This window comes from Homo sapiens, chromosome 10, assembly GCF_000001405.40.
Source record: "Homo sapiens chromosome 10, GRCh38.p14 Primary Assembly".
NCBI classification, from domain to species: domain Eukaryota; kingdom Metazoa; phylum Chordata; class Mammalia; order Primates; family Hominidae; genus Homo; species Homo sapiens.
In genome coordinates, this window is record NC_000010.11 from 12799869 (window position 1) to 12812580 (window position 12712).

The 12712-nt window shown below is 47.1% G+C and overlaps 1 protein-coding gene across 10 annotated transcripts in view, besides 3 other annotated features; it reads left to right on the plus strand.

Annotated features, from left to right (window-relative positions):
- The window catches only part of CAMK1D (calcium/calmodulin dependent protein kinase ID), a 485999-nt gene that overhangs the window by 450322 nt on the left and 22965 nt on the right, over positions 1-12712 (plus strand). The gene's annotated exons all lie outside the window — the stretch shown is intronic.
- Positions 3609-4109: an enhancer, noted in NCBI's record as "H3K4me1 hESC enhancer chr10:12845476-12845976 (GRCh37/hg19 assembly coordinates)". NCBI's record gives its function as "activates a minimal SCP1, AML or CMV promoter by ChIP-STARR-seq in primed H9 embryonic stem cells {active_cell/tissue: H9 hESC(primed)}" and the evidence as "EXISTENCE:reporter gene assay evidence [ECO:0000049][PMID:30033119]".
- Positions 4110-4610: an enhancer, noted in NCBI's record as "H3K4me1 hESC enhancer chr10:12845977-12846477 (GRCh37/hg19 assembly coordinates)". NCBI's record gives its function as "activates a minimal SCP1, AML or CMV promoter by ChIP-STARR-seq in primed H9 embryonic stem cells {active_cell/tissue: H9 hESC(primed)}" and the evidence as "EXISTENCE:reporter gene assay evidence [ECO:0000049][PMID:30033119]".
- Positions 7377-7877: an enhancer, noted in NCBI's record as "H3K4me1 hESC enhancer chr10:12849244-12849744 (GRCh37/hg19 assembly coordinates)". NCBI's record gives its function as "activates a minimal SCP1, AML or CMV promoter by ChIP-STARR-seq in naive H9 embryonic stem cells {active_cell/tissue: H9 hESC(naive)}" and the evidence as "EXISTENCE:reporter gene assay evidence [ECO:0000049][PMID:30033119]".

Genomic DNA, 12712 nt, shown 5'->3' on the forward strand with positions numbered 1-12712 from the left:
TCCCCTCCTCCCCGCCAGTGTTCAATTTCAGTCGTGCATCAACTTTCTAAGGAGTGGGTTTCCCTTTTCCTCTCTGGTATTCCCTTTCCTTTTTCCCCTAAATCTTTTCCTAATCTGCTTACTCCTTCTCAGTTTTCAAGGCATTGTCTAAACCTCAGAGGGTGCAGCAGGCATTTATCCCCCTTGCATTTTCATCACCAGTACTTTGCCGGAGTCACCCTCTGCATGGTTTAATATGTGAACCATTCCTAGTTTCCCTGGCCTGCTCTCTTCTAAGTTTGCAAGGAGAAAGCTCTGGAAACGCACACAATCAAATATACGGTTACTGAAATCATTGGATTACGTTTTTATAACGATTCAGGTCTCATTGGCCATTAAATGCTATAAATCCAAATAATATGCTAAAACCTGTTTTGGTTACTAAGTTGGCCTTGCAAATAAGTACAAAAGATTTATCAGCTTTTAAAAGCTTTGCTTTATTTTATTATTTCTTAAAGTCTGTCATATTATACAGAGTAAGATGAATACAATTCAGATTTCTTCCTACAGGATGCAGACATTCATTCAATAAACATATGTTAAATACTGACCGAGTGCCAAGGCAGAGGACAAACAGTGGCCACCCAGTGGTCGCTACATGTGGGCACACTCTGACATCCTAAGGAGCAATGCCCAGAGTTGATTGATTTTGCTCGTGTTTTTCAGACCCCCATTGGGCCTGGGTTGGCCTTGAAGCTTGCCTAGTGTGTAATATACATGGAGATTTGTTGCTTCGGTCATTTTTATGGCACCTTGGCCTAACTGCATAAAAAATACTCCTTAACAAATATGCCTTTGAGCAGGCGTTCTCAGGAAAGCTTGAGCTGTTCTAGAATTGAGCCATCCATCCTTGGCTAAGTGTTCAGAAATACTGGCACACAAAGATCAAACTTCTAAAGCAGGTTGAGTGCATTCTGTCATCATGTTCATAATACAGCGCTCAGAATAATGACCAGAGGCAGCGTCTCCCTCTGTCCCTTCTGCAGCAGCTTAGAAGGTTATGTCAGGGTGTATGGTTGTTAGTGGGTGGTTCTGAGTTGTTGCCCAAAATTTTAAAGTATGTTGCATCATTTTCATGGGTAGAGTGTGGGACATTGGGGTGAGTCCTCAGGGCTCATCTGCTCCTCTCTCCACCTCAACATTGCTCTTCCTGATGCTGTGTGGCTGCCCTCTCACTTCAGCATCTTTCAGCTGGAGGAACCTGAGAAGGAGGAGATGGAGTTGGGATGAAAAGGAGAAGAGGGGGATAAGGGTGTGGGAAGCAGCATTTAATGATCACTATGTCACTGGAACTTTCAGATGTTACATCTCTAGTATCCATCCATCCATCCATCCATCCATCCATCCATCCATCTGTCCGTCCATCCATCCATATTTCTGTCTGTGTGTGTATCTATCTATCTATCTATCTATCTATCTATCTATCTATCTATCTATCTATCTATCTTATCTATCTATCTATCTATCTATCTATCTATCTATCTATCCATCCATCTGTCCATCTCATTCATCAACCCATCCTTCCATTCATCCATCCATCCATTCATCTATCTATCCGTCATCTATCTATCCATTCATCCATCCATCCATTCATCCATCTATCCATCTTCTATTTGTTTATCCATTCATCCTTCCATCCACCCATCCATCCATTCACCAATCCATTCATCTTTCTGTTATCTATCTGTCTATCCATTCATCCATCCTTCCATCCATCTATCTATCTACCTATTTATCCATCTCATCTGTCTATCTTCATATCTATATCTATCTTCATTATCATTATCTGTCATCTATCTCTATCAACCTATCATCTATCTATATCTATCCATCACCTGTCTGTATATCTATGTGTGTTTTATGTGTCATACATATTAGGACATGGAATACATGACATATGTTCCAATATTTATATAAAGTGGGTGTTGTTATCCCCATTCACTGAATAAACTGGACTCAGAGTGGGTGACTCATTTCCCCAGTGTCACTCACACAGTTCCTGATGGAGCTAGGCTCTGCACCTGTGTCTCCTTTCCTCTGACTTCCTGGCTGAGGAAGACTTGCCACACAAGGAAAAAGTCGCCCTTTTTCCTTGAAAAAATCACTTCTATTCTCCTTCATGGCCTTTTCTCCCAGTTGGATTAAAACAGAGAGTTCTGGGTTGCCATTAACTAATGATTATTCAGTTATCAGTGTGAACTGCTATGTTCAAATATTTTTTCATAAAATATTTTAAAATAAGTGTCAGCACTTTCACAGGTGTTTAGAAAATTCACTTATATCTATTAACTTTATTTTCCAATTTCTCCCCATCAGCGAGGCACTCCTGTCCCCTGGCCAGCCTCACAGAGCCCTGCAAGGTCTCGCCAGAGGGAACTCTTTTGCCTTTGTATCTTCTTGCAGCTTTGCATGGGAGCATAGCGCTGAAAAAGGCTTCTCCGTCCTGTTGGGATTTTCTCAGTATAAATGCAGTCTCAGTTTTCTCCAGGCCCTTTCTCCACAGACAGGGCCATCATTATCCTGGCCATTCTCCTCCCATCTGTCTTCAGAAATGCAGACTGGGTAGAACATTCCGCATTGATTTTGGAACTGCAAGACTTCTGGGCTGTTCTTCATTTCTTTCTTTTTTTTGAGACAGAGTCTTGCTCTGTCACCCAGGCTGGAGTGCAGTGGCACAATCTCAGCTCACTGTAACCTCCGCCTCCTGGGTTCAAGCAATTCTCCTGCCTCAGCCTCCCGAGTAGCTGAGATTACAGCTGTGTGCCACCACGCCTGGCCAATTTTTTGTATTTTTAGTAGAGATGGGGTTTCACCATGTTGGCCAGGCTGGTCTTGAACTACTGACCTCATGATCCGTCCACCGTGGCCTCCCAAAGTGCTGGGATTACAGGCGTGAGTCCCCGCCCCCGGCCTGCTCTTCATTTCTTTGGCAGGTCACGTGGCCTCGTCTCTGGCTCTGTTTCTAAAAGTATGATACAGAAAAATCATGACCGTCTGACTGCAGAGGCAGGTTCTGAAAGAGAACATGCAGGTGTGGTGTTTCCCCATCTTTGCAGTGGCACATCTGGATGGAGGTCCTAAAGGTTAATATGACCTGGCTCTGGAGTTGGACAAAGAGACTAAAATTCTGTGCTGTCCCTTAGATGTAAGCAAGTAGCCTAATCTTTCATGCATTTAATTCCTCATCTGGAAATTGAAGATTGAAAAACTTAGAACTATGCATTAAATAAGACAATAATATATGTAAATTACATAGCCCAGTGCCTGGCACGGTGACAGCTCCGTACATGGTAGATGTGGTTATTAACGTTTATAGGACACATTCACTAGAAGTGGTTTCTCTATTGTAGAAAAGTAAATGTTCCACTGTCCCATTTAAATAAGGCTGGACTATGGAACCCTGAGGGGCAAGACCTGGGTCTGTCTTACTCACTGCTCCATGATCAGCATTTCACACAACACCAGTGCCCTGTCAGTATCTGTAGAATTGGCCAAGGGTGGGTGTGGCTCACACCTGTAATCCCAGCACTTTGGGAGGCTGAGGCGGGCAGGTCACTTGAGGTCAGGAGTTCGAGACCAGCCTGGCCAACACGGTGAAACCCCATCTCTACTAAAAATACAAAAATTAGCCCAGCTACTCGGGAGGCTGAGGCAGGAAAATCACTTGAACCTAGGAGGCAGAGGTTGCAGTGAGCCGAGATCACGCCATTGCACTCCAGCCTGGGTAACAGAGGGAGACTCCATCTCAAAAATAATAATAATAATAATAACTATGTGTGTGTGTATAGAATTGGCTTGAAGTAGCCTTTGTTTTTTTCTAGACCAGAGCTCTGGACAGATGCCCAGGTCTCTTCTTCAGCTCCCTGGGACTCACTTTCCCTGTCTCTTAAACAAGGGGTTGGACCAGGTGATAGCTTCTGGACCCCAGAATAAAATCTTTGACTGTGTGAATCCCCCTACTTTGAAAAGCACTTCTTCAAACATACTTTTCAGCTTCTGATTTGAGGACTCAGGCTGGGAGCGGGAGGCGCCACCTGTCAACTGTGTCATCTGCTGGGCAGTTGCTGGTGGGAGGAGCTCCGCAGCAAGGAAGTCCCTGGAGGCCGTTGTTGGGGCCCTGGATGGGGTGGGCCCAGGGCATATTTGTTGAAGTTTCCTTGTGTTCATTCCAGTCTGCCTTGAGGGGTGTCATTTACAGTGGATGCCATTGGCCATCAGAAGGCTTTACTGCAAAAATAACTGAAAAAGTACTACACTTGGGAAAATTTGGTTCAATTTTCCTTTTTCAGGGTAAACACCTATTTTGGGATGTTCAGTACAACTTCTTAAGTCAGTACACACACACAAGCATAAATATTTCACACAAAGTATTTCTTGTTCATCAAAGAATAATCGATCGACAAATATTCATTAAATAGTATCGAGGCCAGGCGCAGTGGCTCACACATGTAATCCCAGCACTTTGGGAGGCAGAGGTGGGCGGATTACCTGAGGTCAGGAGTTCAAGACCAGCCTGGTCAATGTGGTGAAACCCCATCTCTACTAAACATACAAAAATTAGCCAGGCGTGGTGGTGGGTACCTGTAATCCCAGGTACTTGGGAAGATGGGTTGGGAGAATCGCTTGAACTCAGGAGGTGGAGATTGTACCATTGTACTCCAGCCTGGGCGACAGAGTGAGACTCCGTCTCAAATAAATAAATAAATAAATAAATAAATACTATTGAGTGCTAATGAAAGATACAGGCTGAGTATGATGGCTCATGCCTGCAATCCCAGGATTTGGGGAGGCCAAGGTGGGAGGATCTCTTGAGCCTAGGAGTTCGAGACCAGCCTGGGCAACACAGCAAGACCCTGTCTGTACCAAAAAAAAAAAAAAAAATTAGCCCAGTATGGTGGTGCACGCCTGTGGTTCCCACTACTCAGGAAGTTGAGGCAGGAGGATTGTATGAGCCTGGGAGTTCAAGGCTGCAGTGAGCTATGATCATGCCACTGCACTCCAACCTGGATGATAAAGCTAGACCCTGTCTCAAAAAAAAAAAAAAAAAAAAAAAGATACAAAAAAAATACTAGGCCGGGCGCGGTGGCTCACGCCTATAATCCCAGCACTTTGGGAGGCCGATGTAGGCGGATCACGAGGTCAGAAGATCGAGACCATCCTGGCCAACATGGTGAAACCCCGTCTCTACTAAAAATACAAAAATTAGCTTGGTGTGGTGGCGCACACCTGTAGTCCCAGCTACTCGGGAGGCTGAGGCAGGAGAATTGCTTGAACCCAGGAGGTAGAGGTTGCAGTGAGCCGAGATTGCGCCACTGCACACCAGCCTGGCAACAGAATGAGACTGTCTCAAAAAAAAGAAATACTAGATATAGCACAGTCTTTGTCCTTCAGGGACTTATTACCAAGGTGGGAAGGTAAACATTATAATCATGATAATAAGCCATAATATCTTTACATTTCTTTTTTTTTTTTTTTTTTTTAAACACAGAGTTTTGCTCTTGTTGCCCAGGCTAGAGTGCAGTGCGCGATCTCAGCTCACTGCAAACTCCACCTCCCGGGTTCAAGTGATTCTCCTTCCTCAGCCTCCCGAGTAGCTGGGATTACAGGCGTGCGCCACCATGCTCGGCTAATTTTATATTTTTAGTGGAGATGGGGTTTTACCATGTTGGTCAGGCCGGTCTCAAACTCCTGACCTCAAGCAATCCACCCACCTCGGCCTCCCAAAGTGCTAGGATTACAGGCATGAGCCACCGCGCCTGGCCAATAGGCCGATATCTTTACATTTCTTAAGAGAACCCAAGAGGGAGGTGGGCTGGACTGTGAAGAATGAGAACTGTTTGGAGAGGGACCGAGTCAGGTTGGGGTGGCAGTCCTTGAAACACAGGCATTTAATGACTCGGGCATCCAGCCACCTTTTGCTGAGCACATGCTGTGTACTGGTATAGGACCAGGGTTGCAAAAAGGAATGAGGCATCACCACCCTTGGAGGGCTCAGACTGTATCAGAGAAGACAATGGGACATAGACAGAAACCAACACGCATGCCACGATGATGGTGCCTAGCAAACTTGGAGAACACCAAGGTGGGGGCCTGCCCTGGCCGGGTGGGATCAAGAAAGACATCACTGAGCATAGACCTGTGCACGGGGCTTTGGGGGAGAGCAGGTCACGTCTGTGCACAGCGGGAGAAGAGCAGCCCTGGGCACAGAGAACGGTGTGTAGAAAGGAATTTTCTCGATTGAGGATGCAAGGCTTCCCCTGACCAGCTCCAAATGACCTTTTCTGGGTATTTTTTACACTTCCTGTTTATTTTGAAGGTTAGTGTTGGGTATCTGTCCCCCTGACCCCCAACTAGAATGTAAATGGCATGAGAATAGGGACTCAGACCGTCTGTTCCATGCCTGGGACCTGGTCAGTGCTCAGTCTTTGGTGACAGCCAGAGGAGTCCCTGACAGGCGGTTTTATTAATGTAAGCTTCCCAGCCTGAATCACTGCTGTAGATGCAGGTCACACCTCCTCCCGGGAGCCTTCCCTGATTACCTGTCAGACTGCTCTCTCTTCCCTGCCTTCCTGCAGCAGCTGTGGAGGAGGAATCCACCTGCTCCATAGCGTCCAGCCTCTGGGCCCTGGCCAGCAGGGCTCACCCCTTTTGCGTCCCTTTTGCAGCTCTGCAGCCCAGCAGGGCCTAACCGTGTTGAGGCTCCTCCCCTCTTTCAAAGTGTCCTTCTCCCGAGCTCCACCCTTGATCCTTGACTCAAAGTCACCAACTGAGCAGGTGGAGGGCCAGGGAGATGACCTAATGTGTAATCAGCTAGGTGATTTTTGTCCATGCCAGGGGCTTGCTGGCACACAAAAAGAAGTGGATAAACTAGCTGTTCTTACCCAGCCAGCCAGCCATGCCAGGCTTCCAGGGAATTTGTGTCTGGTCCCCATCCACATACATACATGCTTCAATATGCCAAGACCGTGGGGACTTTGGGGCTGTGGCGGTCTGGCTAGATCAACACCTGTCTCTGGTCACTCAAAGTCACATCTGTTTGAAATCGCTGCTGGCCAAACACATCATGGGCCAGATCAGGTCTGTAGAGGGTCTGTGTGCGACCCCTGAGCTGAGTGATCTTATCTACTCTGAGTGATCTTATCTGCTGTCCCGGTTTTCATGCATGTGCTGATGGCTGTATTCCAGCACCCCCATGATACACCTGTCCCTGGCATAAGGCCTCTAACTCCAGCTGCCTGCTGGCTACCTTCACCTGAATCTCTCACATGTACCTGGTCCAGCTCTGCCCGGCATGAAAGGAATCACTCGTTGATATCCTTTGTGGGATGTTGGCAGTTCTGGGTGCATGGAACACATTCTCTCCAGTTGCCTTAAGGAAGAGAGATTTGTTGCACAGCTTCGTGTGGAATGAACTGGAAGGCCTAGCACTGATGCGGCCACAAGCGTGGGTTCCTCTCACAGCCTCACCACTGAGTGGAGATCTCTCCTCCCGGCCCATGCTCTGCCCTCTTCCCTGCTTTCTTTTAGTGTTCAGTTGAAACCTAGGCAAGATCCAGTGTAGTTATCAGAGCTAATTACCAGGGATGGGGCTGCCTCAGGGAGTTGGCTCAGCTGCCCTCTCTCCTCCTCACCCTGCCTTCAAAGAACTGCCTGGAGCCGCCTCTCTGAGCAGGCAGCGTCCACTGAAGAGGGAGCTGGAATTACCAGGTGCTGTGGTTGATAACAGCCAGGCCACCCCGGCTACCTGCTCCTTGTCCTGCATTCTTCACACAGTGGGCATCATCTGTAGTCCATGCTGGGGACCTTTGAGGCATCCTGGCCTTCACTGGTTACACCGTCCTACACCAGATCTGCCCGGTTCTGTCTGAACTGTCCGTTCCTCCGTCCAGCTCCACTGCAGGCCCCCCTGTCTCCTCTGGCTGCAGCAAGTTGGCCACTCGTCTTCCTGACTCAAACCCGCCACATCTCTGCTGCAAAGCCAATTGTCCCTATCGCCCCTCTGTCTACACCATTCAGGGGCTTCCTTCTACCTGCAAGATAGACCACCCACCTTAGGGTGGGGAATACAGCCCTGCCAGGCCTCACCTCAGCTCTAGCTGCAAACCAGCTCACATGCCGCACCGCAGCAGCAAGCTGCTCTTCCATGCTGGAATAAACTGCTGTTTTATGCCCCATGCTCTTATTCCTGGGCAGCCACTCCTGCCGGCAGCCCACCTGTTTCTCCCGTAAAATTCCTGCTTATCCCCTGAGATAGGGCATAGGCATCCACTTCCTCCACTCCCACAAAGCTGCTTGGCTTGCACGCCCTTGTATACCCGGAATAGCCTCTGCAGATTTCTATTGTTACTGTCACCCATGTCATTATTATCTCTTTATGTGCCTCTCTCACCCACTCTGAGCTCTTGAAGGCAGAAACTGGTTCTTAACTTAGCATTGTATTTCCAGTATCAAACTCAGTATCTGGTATATAGTAGGTGCAACACAAATACTTGACGTGTGAGTGCTTGGTATACCTCCTCCTGGCCTAGGTAGGCCTACGTAGGCCAGGAGGCACCAAGTGACTATGTGTATGTCGGCTGATTAAAAATGAAGACAGCGGCTGAGCACAGTGGCTCACAGCAGCACTTTGGGAGGCCGAGCTGGGTGGGTCACCTGAGGTCAGGAGTTTGAGACCAGCCTGGCCAACATGGTGAAACCTCATCTTTACTAAAAATACAAAAAATGCCGGGTGTAGTGTCAAGGTGCCTGTAATCCCAGCTACTCTGGAGGCTGACGTAGGAGAATCACTTGAACCCAGGAGGTGGAGGTTTCGGTGAGCCAAGGTCGCGCTACTGCACTCCAACCTGGGCAACAAGAGCGAAACTCCTTCTCAAAAAACAAACAAATAAACAAAACGAAAACTGTGAAATACTATAAGATCCATACAGGGCTGGGTGTGGTGGCTTATCCCTGTAATCCCAGCACTTTGGGAGCTTTAGGTGGGTGAATCACTTGAGGCCAGGAGTTTGAGATCAGCCTGGCCAACATGGTGAAACCCCATCTCTACTAAAAATACAAAAATTAGCCAGGTGTGGTGGTGTGCACCTGTAATCCCAGGTGCGCAGGAGGCTGAGGCAGGAGAATTACTTGAACCCAGCAGGCAGAGGTTGCAGTGAGCCAAGACTGAGCCACTGCACTCTAGCCTGGGCAACAGAGTGAAACTCTGTCTCAAAAAAAAAAAAATCCATACAGAAATACTTTTTAAAAATCACTGCCTGATAATAGTCATCCTAACGGGTGGGAAGTGGCATCTCCTTGTGGTTTTGATTTGCACTTCCCTGATGATTAGTGATATTGAGCATTTTTTCACATACCTGTTGACCATTTGTATGTCATTGAGAAATCAAAAAGGCAAGGGCTGGGGAGGATGTGTGGGTGTAGACTCTATGGAAAACAGTGTGGCAATTCCTCAGAAGATTAAAAATAGAGCTACCATATATAATCTAGCAATTCCAAAAAAATGGAAATCAAGATATTGAAGAGAGATTAACACTCCCATGTTCATAGCAGCCTTATTCACAATAGCTGAATAGCTAAGTGTCCATGAACATATGAGTGGTTAAACTGTGGTAGATGCATATAATGGAATGCTATTCAGCCTTTAAAAAGGAGAGAATTCTGCAACATGTGACAACATGGGTGAACCTTGAGGACATTGACACAGTGCTAAGTGAAACAAGCCAGGCATAGAAAGACATATAATGCAGGATCCCACTTATACAAAGTATCTAGAATAGTCAAACTCATAGAATGAAAGAGTGGAAATGGTAGCTGCCAGGGACTGGAGGGAGAGACATGAGGAGTTACTAATCACTGGGTATACAGTTTCAGTGAAGCAAGATAAATGTGTTTGAGAGACCTCCCGTGCTACATTGCACCTATAGTCAACAGTACTGTAGTGTACACTTAAAGATGTGTTAAGATGCCAGGCACAGTGGCTCACACCTGTAATCTCAGCACTTTGGGAGGCAGAGGCAGGTGGATTGAGCCCAGGAGTTCCAGACCAGCCTAGGCCACATGGCAAAACCCTGTCTCTACAAAAATAAAAAAAAATAGCTGGGCATGGTGGCGTGCACCTGTAGTCCCAGCTACTTGGGAGGCTGAGGCAGGAGGATGGCTTGAGTCTGGGAGATGGGAGGGTGCAGTGGGCCAAGATTGCACCTCTGCATTCCAGTCTGGGTGACAGAGAGAGACCCTGTCTCATTAAAAAAAAAAAAAAAAAGGCGTTAGGAGGGTGGATCACATGTTAAGTGTCCTTACCACAAAATAAAATATAACAGTCACTGCCTGGTGTCCCATGTGGCTGTGGCTGGTACTGCCCTAGCACCACTTTTTTTTTTTTTTTTTTGATGGAGTCTCGCTTTGTTGCCCAGGCTGGAGTGCAGTGGTGTGATCTCAGCTCACTGCAACCTCCGCCTCCCGGGTTCAAGCAATTCTCCTGCCTAAGCCTCCCGTGTAGCTGGGATTACAGGCACCTGCCACCACGCCCAGCTAATTTTGGTATTTCTAGCGGAGACCGGGTTTCACCATGTTGGCCAGGCTGGTCTCGAACTCCTGACCTCAGGTGATCTCCTCGCCTTGGCCTCCCAAAGTGTTGGGATTACAGGCGTGAGCCACCACACCCGGCCCAGGTAGCATCTTATTTGTTAGACCCTGCCTGAGGGAGATGGGGGCGGAGAGGCAGGGTCCCATCAGAGGGTTCCACTTGCAGATGCAGGGGCAGGTAGAGCAAACCAAACGCCCCACAGAGAGAACACAAAGTCAGATTGACTTCAACGCCCGAAGTTCAATTCTTGAGTCCCCTCCCTTTAGTGCATGAGCAAAATAGTTAAGAACACAGGCCTAAAAATCCGACAGAATAGGCTCAAGCCCTGATTTTTCTGCATGTTGGTTTCTTTGCCTTTAAAAAGAGGGATGTGCAAGGACCGTATACGAAAAGGGAGGTGTGGGAACCACAAGGAATAGCACCCATGACCCTGGGCCTCATTGCAGCTGAGCTGTGAGCACCTCTAGACCCAGGGGGCTGAGGGGAGAGGGGAAAAAGGCAACAGGAAAGACAGTAAGATGTAAGAGTTCTTCCTAGAAGACAGACCCGAAGCTGGGATGGAGGCAGTGAAGAGTGCTTTGGAGGTGAATTGCCTTGATTGGGTGTGACAGTTGCAAATGCCAGTGTTATTCTGAATCAGGAACTTTGAAGCCTAGAAAAATTGGGAAAGGCATTATTGCCTTTGAGGACCCTTGGCGATATAATTTGTAGATTATTTAAACGGTTGGATATGTAAAAGAAGCCACACTTCTGGAACATTCGTTAACAACCCTGGGATTACCAGTGTGAATGGGCGGCCCCATGGTCACAGAAGTCCTCTGTGTATCAAGTTAAACAGCCCAAGGTTGTTACTTCTGTTAGATCACCTCCACACAAACCTGCTAATGACATAGCTTGGCCAGGGAGCTCTCTGAAATTTCTAGATCTAAGGAAGATTTTGTAACTTCTGTTTGTCCTTCTGTTATTTTACAATCCTTACTTTTAAATCTTTTTTCTTAATTTTGACTTACTTAGGCTCCAAGCTCAATCCATGTCCTTTTCCTGTGTCCTCAGTTCAGCCACATAAACACAATATCCTATAATACAAAAACACGGAAAGAAAAAAGAGCTAAGACCAGAAGAAACTGGAATATACATTTAAAAAACTGGCACCCAGAGAATAAATGTTTCTCGGAATTTTCTTAAAGAATTTTTTCCTTGCAAAGAAAGCCAAACCCTAAAGAAAAACACACACGGTTGTAAATAAACAAAAACCTCACATATCTAGAATTTAGTTTTTTCTCCAAGATGAACTAACATTTTGCTCTGTCTGCGTTTCCTAATATGCACATTTCATTTTGCCTGAATCCTCATCGTGGGAGAAATGGACAGACCCATCTTGGGGCTCCGGGATTTCCGTGGGCAGTGAACTATGTGCCTGGTGGTTTCGGAAGCCCTGGCTCTTGTTCATTTCACTAAAAGCAGCACATCTTTAAAAATGAAATTTTCCAGGCTCTTAGTCCCTAAGGCAACCTTGTGGGGAGAGATTATTTTGATTCTTACGGGCCCACAGAATGTCTCACAGCCTTTAAAAATGTCATCAGGCACGCCCCTGCGCAGCGATGGCTGGCGATGTGCGTCCCACGGGAGGAACAGCTGAGGAATGGCGGTACCAAGGTGGTGTTTCTAACCTGTATTGCATTTCTTGTGTGCTGACAGCCTAATCCCTCGCAGTCCTGCGCTCTGTTGTTTCTTGTTAATTTGTTCTCATTAGACTGGTCCCTAGGCTGTGGCTGTGTGTTGAACAATGTTGATCTATGTGGTACAATTCAGGGCTTGTTTGGGTCAGAGCTCCCACCATGGGCCGGGCTCAGTGGCTCACACCTGTAATCCCAGCACTTTGGGAGGCCGAGGAGGGTGGATCACCTGAGGTCAGGAGTTCGAGACCAGCCTGGCCAACATGGCGAAACTCCATCTCTACTAAAAATACAAAAATTAGCCCAGCATGCTGGCAGGCACCTGTAATCCCAGCTACTTGGGAGGCTGAGGCAGAATAATAGCTGGAACCCAGGAGGTAGAGGTTGCAGTGAGCTGTGATCACGCCATTGT